General features: G+C 39.5%; 1 protein-coding gene across 8 annotated transcripts, besides 1 other annotated feature; it reads right to left on the bottom strand.

The window, feature by feature from the left end:
* TCEAL4 (transcription elongation factor A like 4) lies at nucleotides 1,932-13,430 on the bottom strand. Of its 8 annotated transcripts, NM_001300901.2 has the most exons (5): nucleotides 13,129-13,430; nucleotides 12,448-12,567; nucleotides 3,901-4,036; nucleotides 3,360-3,442; nucleotides 1,932-3,012 (listed from the first exon to the last, which is right to left on the bottom strand). In NM_001300901.2, exons 1-5 carry the CDS (start codon nucleotides 13,189-13,191, stop codon nucleotides 2,338-2,340), a joined length of 1,077 nt encoding a protein of 358 aa, NP_001287830.1. In that variant the 5' UTR covers nucleotides 13,192-13,430; the 3' UTR covers nucleotides 1,932-2,337. The 8 variants fall into 8 exon arrangements, with proteins under 8 accessions (NP_001287830.1, NP_001292769.1, NP_079139.4 ...); NM_001305840.2 differs by lacking the exons at nucleotides 3,901-4,036; nucleotides 12,448-12,567; nucleotides 13,129-13,430 and adding exons at nucleotides 3,554-3,802; nucleotides 4,037-4,146 and having other exon boundaries at nucleotides 3,370-3,442; NM_024863.6 differs by lacking the exons at nucleotides 12,448-12,567; nucleotides 13,129-13,430 and having other exon boundaries at nucleotides 3,370-3,442; nucleotides 3,978-4,146.
* Nucleotides 3,513-4,226: an enhancer, noted in NCBI's record as "H3K27ac-H3K4me1 hESC enhancer chrX:102840363-102841076 (GRCh37/hg19 assembly coordinates)". NCBI's record gives its function as "activates a minimal SCP1, AML or CMV promoter by ChIP-STARR-seq in primed H9 embryonic stem cells {active_cell/tissue: H9 hESC(primed)}" and the evidence as "EXISTENCE:reporter gene assay evidence [ECO:0000049][PMID:30033119]".

Genomic DNA, 17,007 nt, shown 5'->3' with positions numbered 1-17,007 from the left:
ATCAGTATGTCTAGCACCCAGATCTTGTTTTTCTAACACCATTCTCCAACATAAGATACCAGGGCTACTTGGAGAAATGGCTAATTCTAGGACTTGGGCAATATGAAAGATAAAGCTATAGCATCTTGTAGTGCCAGAATGTAAGTAAATACTAAAAAAAAAAAAAAACCCTCTACAACATAACAATGGAAGCGTGTCAAATGAATACAGGAGCCAACTGAAAGCTCCCAATGACCAAAGCTGGAACAATTTGAGCAAAAACATGTAAAGTAGTATTGCGTTAATCCAAAGTATAAAATAGTCATGAGTCTACATTGATACAAATAAACTGAATATATAAATAAGTGGGGAATAAGAGTCAAATATCCTCTGCAGAAGGATTCCAAATAATTTTTGTCAATACTCTGCCTTCAAGGAGGTAATAATGCCCTACTCCTTAAGTGTGGGCTGCCAATAGTGACTTTATTCCAAAGAATACAGTATGGAAAGGGAAAAATAAAACTTAACCTTGGAGAAACCTGACAAACACTACTTCAGTCAGGTTACCAAGGATAAGAACAGTGGTAAATATATTGATGGTATGTCCCCTTTATATGATGAGAATGGCATTTTACCTCTGGTCTTCTTCCCAAAACACATAATGCCTGTGTAATCACAAGACAAGCAAACCCAAGTTTTGGGACATTATACAAAATACCTGACCAATACTTCGTAGAAGTGTCAAGGTCATCAAAAACAGGCAAAGTCTGAAAAACTCTCACAGCTAAGTGGAGCCTATGGAGACATGACGACTAAATGTAACCTGAATGGGATCCTGGAACAGAAAAAGGACATTAAGGGAAATCCAAATAAAGTACGTACTTTAGTTAATAATAATGTATCAATATTGGTTAACAGTGACAAATGTACCATACTAATGTAAGATGTTAATAATAGGGGACAGTGCATATGGGATACTCTGTACTATCTTTGCAATAATTGTGTAGATCTAAAACCATCCTAAAAGTTTATTAAAAAAAAATACTGTAAGGAAATAAAAAGCTACTCAAGAGCCAGGGGGAAAAAATCACATAGGTAGATGGGTCTGTTGAAATAGTAAAGCAGGGCTTAACAGAAATTTCCTGGGAGACAATTCCTAAGAAAAAAGTGTTAGCAGACTAGAGATTAACAAATGAGAATAGCACACCATCTCGTCACTCAGCTTTTCCTCCTGGCTCAATCTCCACTATCTAAATCCGGTGGAAACGGCTATATGCAAAAATATACACAAATCAACAAAAAACATGGAAAGCAGTGTTTTGTAAAAACTTCATAAAACATCAAGGCCCAAGTGACAATTGGGTACTAACAACCTGAGTTAGGATAATTCTATTGTAGGTAGAGAGGGAATTCTCCACTTTTCTGTTGGGACAGTGTTGCTTAGTCCATCATGGTCTTCAGCCCACCAGCAGCAGCTGGGGCCTTAGGAGGGTGCAGGATCCATGAGAAGGGGCACACTACCTTTCAAGTATGGCATTACCCAGGAAGAGTGGCACCCATCTCTCAGCTGTCTGGACTTATTTCTGGGCACAGGTGAGACCCTCCTTCAGCCCTTCCCAAGTATCTGACTGGGCACTGGTTCTGCTAGTGCAAGGGGAGAGAGTAGGAGCCAGCCTAACACAGCTCACACACTCAATACCTCATTTGATCTTCTCCACATGTCTAGGCTAATTTTATCCCCATTTCACAGATGTCAAGGCTGTCCCTTACAGCAATGGCTCTGTAATAACCATCGAGTTGACTCCTCCAGCTTCCAGTCCCAGAGGTAATGCAACTTTTACCTATCATTTTATGTCCTCACAAGAATTTTAAGTATATCCACTGTCTTTATAAGTTCACTGGGCAGTTCATTTGAATGCTTATTCAAATGAATGAAATTCAAATATTCACTGTTTTCCAATACTTTATATTTTATTATTTTTATGACTAAAGAAATCTGTTTTTAGGAGAAAAATGGACAGATGAACAAAAAAGAACAGAAAAAATCACCCAGAGATAACCACTGTTAATCTTTTAGTGGACACAGCTTTCAGAATTGTTTTCTATACTATATTACTAGGTAAGTATCTTTGTAGTTTTACAAAAATGTACTGATGCCATATATTTGGTTCTGCAAGTTGTGTTTTTTAATTTTACAATGCACCATCAACATTTTTTCCATGTAACAGATGAACATTTCCTACTGAGAACACTGCATTGCAGATAGGTCAAAAGGCTGCTAGCAACAGGAGGGATGCCTAAAGTAAAGTATTACCGTAACGTTAAAGCACATGGCCTGGTAAATGCCTGCCAGGGACACTACACATAAGGAATGTCTTCAATGTCCCTTCGTGGGGCCCTGCAGCCACCCCTGAATTCCCTTGGACCTCTAGGGTAGAAGGGGTCCTGTAAATTTCTTTGCATCCACAAAAACGCCCCCAATTTCTGTTTGCTTTTTCTCTTCTCATCCTGCACCTTAGCCATATTGTCAAATTCTCTTATCATGTCCTCATTGCTGAAATTCATATCATGTATGGCCTCTTTATACTCCTTGAGGTAATGAGCCAGCCCCTTATTAGTTTTTCTTTTGGCTTTCCTGGGTACATCATCCTCAGCTGGGCGCTTTCCTGCAGCCCTTGTTTCACTCCCTGGCTCTCCTTCACTCTCTGGCTTTCCCTCTATCTCTGGTTTTCCCTCTCTCTCTGATCCTCCCTCCATCTCTGACTCTCCCTCCCTCTCTGACTTTCCTTCTTTTGCCTCTCCCTCACTCTCTGGCTTTCCTTTATCCTTTAACATTTCCTCATCTCCTGTTTTGCCCTTGTTTTCTGTCTTTCCCTCGTTTTCTAACTTCTTGTCTTCCAGAGTACAAGTTACTTCTGGCTTTCTCTCGTCTTGTGGCTGTTCTTCATTTTCCATCTTTCCTTGGTTTGAAGCCATTCCTTCATTTTCACTGTAGAGTTTTTCCATGTCGAGATTTCCCCTCCTTTTCCTGTCCTGGGGGATGGGGGTGGAGGAAAGAGGAGACAAAGAGGAGACATGGGAGACTGAGTGCATGGGGTGGAATGCAGGTCTGGATAGTACTTGCATCTCACCCCTGATGAGGGTTCCCCTAAGCTGGCCAGGCCTCCAAGAGGGCCTTCTGCCCACCACGTAGCCCGCCACTCCTCCCACACACGTGAGCCAGCCATTGCCTGACAGGCTCTGCCACTTTCTCTGCACTGGTTCAGCCTGGTAAGGTGTGTGTTCATGTGGGTGGGGGAATGGGAAAGGCCCCAATTCGGCCCTGGCCGGGCCCTCCACACTCTCAACCCTTGTGGGCCCCTGTCCATGCAGCCCCGTACTTTCACGGACCTGCGGGGATTCTGGACAGGTTGCTCCTCCTTTTCAGGCTTCGCAGAGCGCTGGGAACAACAGACGCGCAGACCTGCAGACAGACAGGAGACAGGGGCAGGGTCTGCGCGCTCAGCGGGCTCACACGGACGCGGTTCCCTTTCCTGAGTCCAGGCCCTTCTCATCCAACGTTTTCCTCCCCTACCTCCGCCGCACCCCAGCCGCCATTTCTTTCCAGGCCTCGGGCACCAAATCAGGATGCTTTCCAAACTAATTTTGGGTCTCTGTGCCCTTCTTCCTCAGAGGCAACTCTCCTCCCCAGCCTCGCGGTCAACGTTTTTCTCTACGCACGGGAACGGCAGATGGGGTTTACTTCCACTGTCTCACTACTGGGGCGGCCCCAGCCCACCATCTCCGGCTCCAAAATGGACGGAGGGCAGAGAAGAGGATGTGCCTGGAAAGCGAGCATGGATACTTGGGGGTGCTCGCCTTCCTCACCCTCTGCCCACTGCCTACGTGCTCCCCCTCAGCCACCCCTAGCCGTTTTCCCACCGCCATCTCTGTCCACACTCGGGCCAGCTTCCCTCGACTCGACCCGACCCCACCCCCAGCCTTTCCCCCTGCCGTACCCGTTCCCCTTCCGCCATTCCAGTGTTCCGCTGGCAGCGTGGAAGGCCCGCACACTGACCTGGAAGAAGCTGGACCAAGAATTAGGAGCCCAGGAACCGGAGCAGACGAGACCCAGCCGCGGGGACAGAGGGCAGGCACTCGGACCGGTGCCTACATCTGCGCCCGTGCAGATCACGTGAATGCCGCAGCCCAGGAGTTCCACCGCCCCACGCCCCGCCTCCTAGCCAGCCGCTTCCAGCCACCCACCACCTCTCCAGCAGGTACCCTCTTACCTCCCTGGGCCCTTTTGTCCTTTTTTTCTTGTTAAGAAATTAATCAAAGAAAGAATCTTAATGAAAATCACAGTTTTTTTTTTAATGAGTTGGGCGGTCCAGAAGAGGAGTCTTGATAATGTTGCTCTTAAATTCCACTGAAATAACGTAGACCCACCCGATAAAATCGTATGAATGTGAACTTAAGTACTGTATAAAGAATAGAATATTGCCCTTTAGAAAAAACTTAAGAAAAATTTTCCAAAATAAATGAAATTGTCCCTTTTTCCTGACATGTACAAACATAAATTTTCAAATGAATAAAAAATAAAGTTATATTTGAAGCAAAATAAAACAACGATTAATTTATCTTAAGTGAGAAACTGAATATACAATGACCAGACCACATACGAAAATAGAACTGTGACCCACAACCTTTGCTGCAAGCAGCTCAAAAAGCCAAAGTATAGCATCTGCAGAAATGTTCAGGACTTTAATCAATTTGCTAGCCTTTCTGGCCTTTTTAATTTTTTTGACCTGATGACAAACAAGAAAAACCCAAATATGAACCCATATTCAATCACATAGGATGCTTGCCTCTAGTTGGCCTGCCTCTAGCTTCCTCACGTCAACAACATCCAATCAGAGCGTAGCTGAAGTCTTTGTGTTTTTGTTTTCCACTATAAAGCTTTCCCACTCCCCTGCCTGTCTTTGAATCTCTGCCAGACTCAAATGATGGTGGCTTGACTTCCTTGCTATAAAAAAGCTGTGAATAAGTAGCACTTGTTTGTTCTCTTATGGGTAGACTCCGTTTATCTCCACATAAGCTTTTGGTGTGGAAGGCCTTTATAGTCACGTGCCACTTAATAACGGGGATATGTTCTGAGAAATGCATCAGGCAATTTCGTGGTGGTGCGAACATCGTAGAGTGTAGTTATACAAATCTATATGGTATAGCCTACTACACTCCTAGGCTACATACTATAGCCTATCGTATTCTATGCTGTCCGTTGTCGTTGACCAATCGATACGCAGTGTGACTGTACAACAAAGAGACAAATGCTGATAGATTAGATTACATGAAAATTTTTAACAGATTTGTTGAAGGACTGGGGACACATGCACTCTCCCCTGCTCTTATTGAATATGTTGGTGAAATTTTTCTGAAGATCAACTTTGTAAATTATTTAAAAATAAAAATATCGGCCAGGCACGGTGGCTCACACCTGTAATCCCAGCGCTTTGGGAAGCTGAGGCGGGTGGATCACCTGAGGTCAGGAGTTCAAGACCAGCCTGACCAGGATGGTGAAACCCCATCTCTACTAAAAATACCAAAACTAGCTGGGCGTGGTGGTGGGCGCCTGTAATCCCAGCTACTCGGTAGGCTGAGGCAGGAGAATTGCTTGAACCCGAGAGGCAGAGGTTGCAGTGAGCCGAGATCACGCCATTGCACTCCAGTCTGGGCGACAGAGTGAGACTTCGTCTCAAAAAAAAAAATTAATATTTGATCTTTTGTGCCAGTAATTTCACTTCTAATAGTTACCCACAATGATAATTTTCTTTCTTCAACTTTTATTTTAAGCTCAGGGGCACATGTGCAGGATGTGAAGGTTTGTTATGTAGATAAACATGTGCCATGGTGGTTTGCTGTATAGATCATCTCATCACCCAGGTATTAAGCCTGGCAGCCACCAGCTATTCTTCCTTATGCTCTCCCTCCCTGCCCCCAGCAGGCCCCTGTGTGTGTTGTTCCCTGACATGTGTCCATGTGTTCTCATCATTCAGCTCCCAGTGAGAACACATGGTGTTTGGTTTTCTGTTCCTGCATTAGTTTGCTGAGAATAATGGCTTCTAGCTCCATCCATGTGCCTGCAAAAGACATGATCTCATTCCTTTTTATGGCTGCATAGTATTCCATGGTGTATATGTACCACATTTTCTTTATCTAGTCTATCATTGATGGGCATTTCAGTTGATTCCATATCTTTGCTATTGTGATTAGTGCTGCAATGAACATACGGGTGCATGTATCCTTATAACAGAATGATTTATATTCCTTTGGGTATATACCCAGTAATGAGATTGCTCAGTCAAATGATATTTCTGGTTCCAGGTCTTTGAGGAATCGCCACAGTCTTCCACAATGGTTGCTGATTTATACTCCCACCAACAGTGTAAAAGTGTTTCTTTTTCTCTGCAGCCTCACCAGCATCTGTTGTTTTTTGACTTTTTAATAATAGCCATTCTGACTAGCTTAAGATGGTATATCATTGTGGTTATGATTTGCATTTCTCTATCAGTGATGTTGAGGTTTTTTTCACATGTTTTTTGGCCTCATGTATGTCTTCTTTTGAGAAGTGTGTGTTCATGTCTTTGCCTACTTTTTAATGGGCTGTTTTTTTCTTGTAAATTTGTTTAAGCTTCTTGGAGACTGGATATTAGACCTTTGTCAGATGGATAAATTGCAAAAATTTTATCCCGTTCTGTAGGTTGTCTGTTCACTCTGATGAGTTTTGTTTGCTGTGTAGAAGCTCGTTAGTTTAATTAGATCTCATTTGTCAATTGTTGCTTTTGTTGCAATTGCCTGTGCCTATGTCCTGAATGGTATTGCCTAGGATTTTCTAATAGGGTTTTTGTAGTTTTGGGTTTTACATTTAAGTCTTTAATCCATCTTGAGTTAATATTTATATATGGTATAAGGAAGGGGTCCAGTTTCAATTCTCTGCATATTGCTAGCCATTTCTCCCAGCACTATTTATTAAATAGGGAATCCTTTCCCCATTGCTAGTTTTTGTCAGATTTATTGAAGATCAGATAGTTCTAGGTGTGTGGTCTTATTTATGAGTTCTCTATTATGTTCTGTTAGTCTATATGTCTGTTGTTGTACCAGTACCATGCTGTTTTGTTTACTGTAGCCTTGTAGTATAGTTAGAAGTCAGGTAGTGTGATGCCTCCAACTTTGTTCTATTTGCTTAGGATTGTCTTGGCTATTTGGGCTCTTTTTTGGTTCCATATGAGTTTTAAAATAGTTTTTTTCAATTCTGTGAAGAATGTCAATGGTAGTTTAATGGAAATAGCATTGAATCTATAAATTTCTTTGGGCAGTATGGCCATTTTCATGATATTGATTCTTTCTATCCATGAGAATGGAATGTTTTCCATTTGTTTGGGTCCTCACTGAAATCCTCTCTGATTTCCTTTATTAGTGGTTTGTAGTTCTCCTTGAAGAGGTCCTTCACTTCCCTTGTTAGCTATATTCCTAGGAATTTTATTCTTTTTGTAGCAATTGTGAATGGAAGTTCATTTATTATTCAGCTCTCAGCTTGCCTATTGTTGGTATATAGGAATGCTAGCAATATTTGCACATTGATTTTATATCCTGAGACTTTGTTGAAGTTGCTTATCAGCTTAAGAAGCTTTTGGGCTTAGACAATGGCGTTTTCTAGATATAGGAGAATTTCATCTGCAAACAAAGATAATTTGACTACCTCTCTTCCTATTAGAATACCCTTTATTTCTTTCTTTTGCCTGATTGTCCTGGCCAGAACTTCCAATACTATGTTGAATAGGAGTGGTGAGAGAGAGAGCATCCTTGTCTTGTGCTGGTTTTCAAGGGGAATGCCTCCAGCTTTTGCCCATTCAGTCTGATATTGACTGTGGGTTTGTCATATACGGATGTTATTATTTTGAGGTATGTTCTTTCAATATGTAGTTTATTGAGAGTTTTTAACATAAAGGGATACTGAATTTTATCAAAGGGCTTTTCTACATCTATTGCGATAATCATGTGGTTTTTGTCTTTAGTGCTGTTTATATGATTAATCACATTTATTGATTTGCATATGTTTAACCAACCTTGCATCTCGGGGATGAAGCCAACTTGATCGTGATGGATAAGCTTTTTGATGTGTTGCTGGATTTGGTTTGCCAGTATTTTATAGAGGATTTTTGCATCAATGTTCTTCAAAGATATTTGCCTGAAGTTTTCTCTTTTTTGTTGTATCTCTGCTAGGTTTTGGTATTAGGATGATGCTGACCTCTTAATATGAATTAAGGAGGAGTCTTTCCTTTTCAATTTTTTCGGAATAGTTTCAATAGAAACTATCCCAGCTGTTCTTTGTACCTCTGGTAAAATTCAGCTGTGAATATGTCTGGTCCTGGGCTTTTTTGTTGTTGTTGCTGTTAGTAGGCTATTTATTACTACCTCAATTTCAGAACTTGTTATTGGCCTATTCAGGGATTCAATTTCTTCCTGGTTCAATCTTGGGAGGCTGTATGTGTCCAGGAATTTATCCATTTCTTTTAGGTTTTCCAGTTTATGTGCATAAAGGTGTTTGTAGTATTATCTGATGGTTTTTATATTTCTGTGGGGTCAGTGGTGATATCCCCCTATCATTTCTGATTGTGTTTATTTGATTTTTTTCTTTTATTCATTAGTCTGGCTAGCAGTCTATCTATTTTATTTTTTCCAAAAACCAGCTCCTGGATTCATTGATTTTTTGAAGGGTTTTTCATAGCTCTATCTCCTTCAGTTCAGCTATCATTTTGACTATTTCTTGTCTTCTGCTAGCTTTAGGGTTTGTTTGCTCTTGGTTCTCTAGCTCTTTTAGTTGTGATGTTAGGTTGTTAACTTGATATCTTTCTAGCTTTTTGATGTACCCACAGAGATAATTAATACAGTGCTAAAGTAGTCTTATATTTCAAATTTTCACTTTGAGAAGCCAAGGTGGGTGGATTGCTTGAGCCCAGGAGTTTGAGACCAGCCTGGGCAACATGGCAAAACCCTGTTTCCGCAAAAATTACAAAATTTAGCCCAGTGTGGTGGCGCACACCGGTAGTCCCAGCTACTTGGGAGGCTGAGGTGGGAGAATTGATTGATTGCTCTCGGGAGGTAGAGGCTGCAGTGAGCTGTGACTGTGCCATTGCACTCCAGCCTCGGTGAAAGAGCCAGACCCTGTCTCAAAAAATTTATGTTAAAAAGATTCCCATAGCAATTATTTATTGAACACTTATTCTTTGTTTGTATTATAACTACAATAGTGATTCCATTGGCTTAGTTTATAATTTAAAAAAAATGGAACAGCACAAATGTCCATCATTACAGGTTTAGTTACATAATCTTCTTAGTATACCCGTTTAATCTGGTTATCTTTGGGTGTTTGGTTTATAAAAATAATTAATCCTTATATATTGGGCACTTAATACACAGTAAAAATAATTCTTTATTAACTGTTCATCAACCCAATTGATAGTGACACTATTATGTGTGGCGGGACACAAAGGACAGCCACAAGTAAGTGATATTGCCCTCTAGAGATGCCACTTACGTTAGCAGCACTGTGCTAGCTACATTGTCTTATCTGGCGTGCTATTTCATTTATCCCTGGTGGGACAATTCACACTTCAAGGAAGCAGAATGACTTATAAGGCTACAATTTTAACCAATATAGTACTGAAATAAGCACAATAAGAGAAATAAAACAAGAAAGCCCACTAACACACCCAAATATACAAGTTTTTAGTGTGTGATAGGGAAACATTTCTGATCAGTAGTAAAAAATAGGCTATTATAGAAACTATATTTGTATAATTAGTTAAATATTTGAGGGAAAATGAAGAGCTTTATTTTCTGACATACATTCAGATATCTTCAGGGTGGGCAAGAGACATGAAATAAAAGGCATCCGGGTTGAAAGGAAAGAAGTAAAACTATCTATTTGCAGGTGATGTGATCTTGCATATAGAACATCCCAAATAATTCACTAAAGAACTGTAGGAACTAACAAATGAGTTCAGCAATGTGGCTGAATATATGATTGATATACAAAAATTAATTGTATTTTATGTGCTAGCAATGAACTATTCAAAGAGGAAAGTAAGAAAACAATTCCACTTAAAATAGCATAAAGATAATAAAACACTTAGAAATAAATTCAATAAAAGGTCCAAGACTTGTACACCAAAAACTAAAAAAAATTGTTGAAAGAAATAAAAGAATACCTAAATAAATGGAAAACCATTCTATATTCATAGATCTGAAGACTTAGTATTTCCAAAATTGATCCATAGAATCAGTGTAATCTCTATCAAAATCTTATCTGGCTTCTTTGCAGAAATTGGTAAGCTGATCCCAAAATCCACATGAAAATGCAGGAAACCCAGAATATACAAAACAATATTTAAAAAAAAGGAAAACATTGGAGGTCTCACACTTCCAGATTTCTATCAAGGCAGTGTGGTACTGGCATAAGGACATATAGATCAATGGAATATAATTGAGAGTCCAGAAATAAGCCCTCATACCTACAGTTGTGCCAAGAAAATTCAACTATGAAAGAATAGTCTTTTTAACAAATGGTGCTGAGACAAATGGATATCTACCTGCAGAAAAAATGAATTTGGGCCTCTTTTTCACACCATCTACAAAACAATTCAAAATAGATTAAAGTCCTAATTGTAAGAGCTAAAACTATCAAATTCTTAGAAGAAAACTTAGGTGTAATTCTTTATGACCTTGGATTAGGCAATGGTTTTTTAGATATGACAACAAAAGCTCAAGAAACAAAAGAAATATAGATAAATGAGGCTCCATCAAAATGCACAATTTTTATGATTCAAAGGACATCATCAGGAAAGTGAGAAGACAACTAACAGAATAGGAAAAATTTTTGCGAGTAATGTATCTGATAAGGGACTTGTATCTATAATACATAGAGAATACTTACAACTAAATAATTTTAAAAACCCAATTTTAAAATGGGCAAAGGATCTGAATAGGTATTTCTCCAAAGAAAATATACAAATGGCCAATAAATACATGAAAATGTGCCCAACATCATTAGCCATCAGGAAAATGCAAATCAAAGCCATAATGAGATACCACTTTATACCCACTAGGATGGATATAATAAACAAGAAATATAATGACAGGTGTTTGCAAAAATGTAGAGAAATTGGAAACATCACATACTATAGGTGGGAACATCAAATGGCACACTACTGTGGAAAACAGTTGGGCAGTTCCTCAAAATGTTAAACATGGCATTACCTTATGACGCAACAATCCACTCCTAAGTATATCCCCAAGGCAAATGAAACAATATGCCTACACAAAACTTGAATGTGTATGTTCCTGGCAGCATTATTCATTATAGTTAGAAAGTAGAAATATCTTAAATACCTATCACTCAATGAATAGATATATAAAATATGGTATGTCTGTACAATGGAATATTATTTGGCAAAAAAATGGAACAAAGTGCTGATACATGCTAAAACATGAATGAACCTTGAAAACCTTGTGCCAAGTGAAATAATCCAGTCACAAATTATTACATATTGTATTAGTCCATTAATATGCAACATTTAGAATTGGTATATCCATAGAGACAGAAGGTAAATTAGTAGTAGCATAGGGCTAGGGGTGGGAAATTGAAGGGAAAATGTTAGTGACTGCTAATGGGCATGAGATTTCTTTTTGAGGTGATGAAAATGTTCTAAGGTTGATTGTGATGATGGTTGCACAACTCTGTGAGTATATTAAAAAACCATTGGATTATGCACCCTAAATAGGCGAATTATATGGCATGAGAATTATATCTCAATAAAGCTGTGATAAAAATCTGTCATAATATTGATTATTTCAAAGTATTATATATGCAGATTTTCACTATAATGGATTGAATTAAAGTCACATAATTTTTCTCTATTATGCATGTTTTAATATTTATATGTTAGTACATTTCCTTGATTATTTTATTTGGATTTATTCTAAGAACTTGAATTAATGGATCAAAAGTTATGAGAATTTTAAGATTTATTGATATATGTAGCTAAATGTTTACTATGTTGTTAATTATAAAAACTACAGAAAATCAAACATACATATAATGTAGAGGGTGGGGTTGTATGCTATATTTTACTAAATTTTTCTATGCTTATTTCATATACAATTTGTATATTTAATGAAATTGTACTGTATATACTGTTCTGCTACTTGATTCTTTCACTTAAAACTATATCTTCAGAACATTCCCATGTCAGTCTACATAGGACTACCTTATACATTTTAATGGTTGCATAATATTCTACTCTTTAGAGTTACCAAAGTTTATTTAATCAATTCTCCATTGATTAGCATTAGAAATGTTCCATACTTTTACTATTAACAACATTGATCTATTGAATATCTATATGCATATTGCATCCATTTATTTACCTGGGGAAGAGATTTAATTTCCGAAGTTGTTATGTCCCGCTCCACATATGATATGTGACCTTTCCATTCTTCGCATTGACAGATGTGGACTTTGTCTCTTCCTTTTGAATTTGGGAGGCCCTGCGACTATTTTGATCAGTATAATACAGTGTAAATCACTTTGTGTGACTTTTGAGGTTAGGTCAAAACACCCCACAAAGATCTGCCTGGCATTTTTGGAATATTCACTCTTGGAGAAGCAGCTGCCATGTAACAATTCTTCCTACCCTGAAACCACCATGCTGAAAAGGCCATATATTTGCTCTTTGATTGACAGCTCCAGCTGTGTTGTAATCCAAAAGCCAGCAATAACTGCCATCCCTCTTAGTGAGCCCTCTTGGATTTCCATCCTAGTCCAACTTAAAGATGATTGCTGTCCTAGATGACATATTTTATTGACTGATTGATTGATTGAGACAGTCTCGCTCTGTCACCCAGGCTGGAGTGCAGTGGTGCAATATCAGCTCACTGCAACCTCCACCTCCTGGGTTCAAACGATTCTCCTGCTTCAGCCTCCTGAGTAGCTGGGATTATAGGGGCATGCCACCACACCAGGCTAATTTTTATATTTTTAGCAGAGACGGGGTTTCACCATGTTGGCCAGGCTGGCCTCAAACTCCTGACCTCAGGTGATCTACTCACCCTGGCCTCCCAAAACGCTGGGATTACAGGCGTGAGCTGCGGCGCCTGGCCTCCAGCTGGCATCTTGACCTCAGCATCATGAGAGTCCCAAAATAAGAACCTAGCAGCTGAACTCTTCTTGAATATAAATGATTAAATTTTGGAGTAATTTGTTATGCAGCAATACTAACCTTAATAACCTGTATAAAAGATGAAATAATACTAGGAGTAAAATAAATCATAAATAGATATCCCACAAAGCCTGAAATATTTACTTTCTGGCCCTTTATGGAAAAAGTTTGTCAGCCCATGTCTTAGACCAAAGGAAACAATTTAACCTCAACCACCACAACAATCGTCATCATTGAGATGTGATGTTGAGTGACTACTAATATAGATGCATATCAGGGTACAGGTATCATTCTATTCATTTGTGGGGGTAACTCAAAATGCATGTAATTTTTTTTTATTTTTTATTTTTGAGACAGAGTCTCACTCTGTCACCCAGGCTGGAGTGCGGTGGCACCATCTCGGCTCATGCAACTCTGCGTCCTGGGTTCAAGCAATTCTTGTGCCTCAGCCTCCTGAGTAGCTGGGATCACAGGCATGTGCCACCATACCTGGCTAATTTTTGTATTTTAGTACAGATGGGGTTTCCTATGTTGGACAGGCTGGTCTTGAACACTTGACTTCAAGTGATCCACCTGACTCGACCTCCCAAAGTGCTGGGATTACAGGTATGAGCCACTGCACCCGGCCAAAATACATATAATTTTAAAGTTACAAAAGTGTTATCCTGTGTAATTGGAACAACCAATACTTGAGTACTGGAAACTCATAATCTAAAAGTTGAAAACCTGGCATAGTGGAAAGAATCTAGAATTCAGACTTGGTATTTACTTTAGAAAAGTAACCTCTTCTAGGCCCAGGGGTTAGCCCATCTGTGAAATGGGCATATAATAGTTGAAATACAAATAATGTGGAGAGTTGGTAAGGATACAGAGTAACTAGAACCCACATATACATTCTGGCTGGAACTACAAATTGAAAAAGCACTTTGGAAAGCTGTCAGTATTTACTAAGGTTAAACATTCATGTATGCTCTGACTCAGTAGTTGCACTCCTGGTATATATGCAACAGAAATGAGTTTTTATGTCCACCAAAAGATGTGAACAAGATTGATCATTAAGTACAAAACATAAAGCAATGCAAATGTTCATCAACAGAAGAATAGTGTTATAGTCCTATAATGCATTACAACACAGAAATGAAAATGAACAAATTACAGCTTCAAACAACATGGGATAAAAACACAAATATAGCACTGCTACTTCCATTGTAATCCCTCTGTCACCCTCCTGTCTACAAAACCACATACCTATGGAGTTGAAAATGGGTTCAGGTTTGAGGCCACAAGAAGAAATTCAAAGACAGTGAAAAGGAGAAGCAGCCCCTGGAATTCAGCATGATTGCTGATATCCCCAGTTGTTGGAGTTTGTTAAGAGAAAAATGTGCTTACACATTTTAATTTGAATTAATTAACCAAGTGAATATTGAGGGAGATCAAGCAAATCAACATAGCATTTAGATTTTATTTTAACGTATTTCTTGGCAAGCAGGTTAATGCAGAGAGGCACAGTTTCTATGAGTCTCTGATAGGCTCAAACACTCAGTCTAATGCCATGTCTGATAGAGCAGACGCTGGAGTGAAATTCAAGAGATCGTCCTGGGTTCTGGTGTCAGACCTAACCCAAAACCTACCCGGCCATGGGTAAGGTCCTTCAGTTCTGTGAGAAGATTCCATCTGGGAAAGGACTCTCAGTTACTAGAAGGGACAGAATTCACTATTCACAATTATTTTAACAAGTGTAATGACTATGCATATTATTTATTCTTAAAACAAGATTCCTTATAGTGCATGACAAAATATCTGATCAAGCATCAGGTCCACCCAAAGCCATATGGTCCCTGCCTAGTTTCAACCTCCAAAGGCTGATGTTGTTCACACTTACCTCTGTGTGGAAAGATCTTGGAAGCAGAGGTAGTTAAATTATGGATGGGTTTTGGTATTACTTAGTAATAGTAGAAGCCATGAGGGGCAGGGCTGGCCTATCACATCTCTCAGATGGACCACGGGTCAGCATGCAAGGACTGGACTGATGACCCACTAAAGAGAAGTCTGGGTGCTCTCATGTTCCCCTAATGTCCTCCTCAGGGACTGGGCAAAACCTGCCGATGACCCTAGATTTGTTTTTAAAGTCCCTCAAGATAAGGGGAAAGAGTGGCTACTTTTTCAAACTTTCTCCTCCTCACACCATCCTTATTCTCCTCTTATCCAGTAGTAACAGGCCAGGATCAAAGAGGAGATGGGCAGTAAGGGGCCAGGAATAAGGACCAAACCCATTGTACTGGTGACTGCACTGGGAGCTGGGATTTCATCCTTCCAAGTTGAGGTGGTGGGTTTTATTTTCAGGCATATGTGCTTGGAAGTGAAAAAAATAAGATAACATTCATTTAGCTTGTGTGTGTGTGTGTGTGTGTGTGTGTGTGTGTGTGTCACATTATTTTTCTTAATCAGTTGCCATGTGCTATGGTTTGAATGTTTGTGTCTACTCCAAAATTCATGTTGAAACTTAATATCCAATGTAATGGTATTCAGAGGTGGGGGCCCTAGCAGGTGATTAGGCTATGAGGGCTCTGCCCTCATGAACAGGATAAACGACTTTATAAAAGGGCTGGAGGGAACTGCGTAGGCCCCTTTTGTCCCTACACTTTCCTCCAAATGAGGATGCAGCAACAAGATGCTTTCTTGGAAGCAGAACCTGATCCTTCAACCAGATATCAAACTTGCTGGTGCCTCCTGAATTGTGAGAAATAACTTTCTGTTCCTTATAAATTACCCAGTCTCAGGTATTTAGCAGCACAAATGGACTAACATGATGTATGAGGCAGGAATTATGTCCACAACTACTAGCCCTGAATTTATATCCTTAAATCTCCATGATTGGGAGCAAAAGATTAGACAATAAAGCTACCAAACCTAAGCAAAGAGCCACACCAGTTTCCTCTTCAACATCCAAGGCTGAACATCCCAGGAAGGCTCTTATTGGTTCAGCAGGGTCACCTCCCCACACTCTGGGCCAATAGCTCAGGGGCTGCGGGTCCTACATTGGCTGACCCAGCAGAGAGTGGGGTATGAGCTGCACTCATTGAATGCTCACATCATCTGAGTCAGGCATAATTGCAGCTCATTAAGATTTATGATTTTTAAAAAGACTTTTGACTGGGAAAGAACAGAACTGAATAAGCCTCAATGAAATAGAATACAAATTTCAGAGTCCAGAGAGCTTGGTAAGGGGATTGGACTGTTTCTTGAAATTTATGATATATATTTCTGTGCTTTTTGTTTTCATCATGTATTAACATGAATTCAAAAAAAGCTTGTGATATTTTTATTCCAGTAACACTGTTTCCCCAGGAGTCCTGCTTATAGTACGTTATTTACAGCAGTTAAAGCTGTTTCCCTTAGTCTTTTTTTTTTTAACACAGAATTAGAGCACTCTTGCCCAGTCTCCTTGTTCGTCATGCACCCACCAGGTTAATAATCAGATGTACTCATTGCCCCATCTAGCCTTTCAGCATCAAGCCTTGTTTTTTTTCTTTACTTACCAGATTCATCTATCTCAATCACCCCTGCACTCTCAGCCAAATTATAACGCATTTTTAATGTTCTTTCACTAATGTTTCTATTTACTTTCTGAATTTACAAGAGGAAAATGGCAAAAGCGCTATAACTGTCCTCATGGATTTGATATATTAAAAATGCCTTTTTCCATAATACAATGTGTATGAGACCAATATGCTAGAATAATTTTGGTAAAACATTTGTATGGCACACT

Source organism: Homo sapiens, chromosome X (genome assembly GCF_000001405.40).
Source record: "Homo sapiens chromosome X, GRCh38.p14 Primary Assembly".
NCBI classification, from domain to species: domain Eukaryota; kingdom Metazoa; phylum Chordata; class Mammalia; order Primates; family Hominidae; genus Homo; species Homo sapiens.
This window is presented reverse-complemented; position numbering and strand designations above follow the sequence as displayed.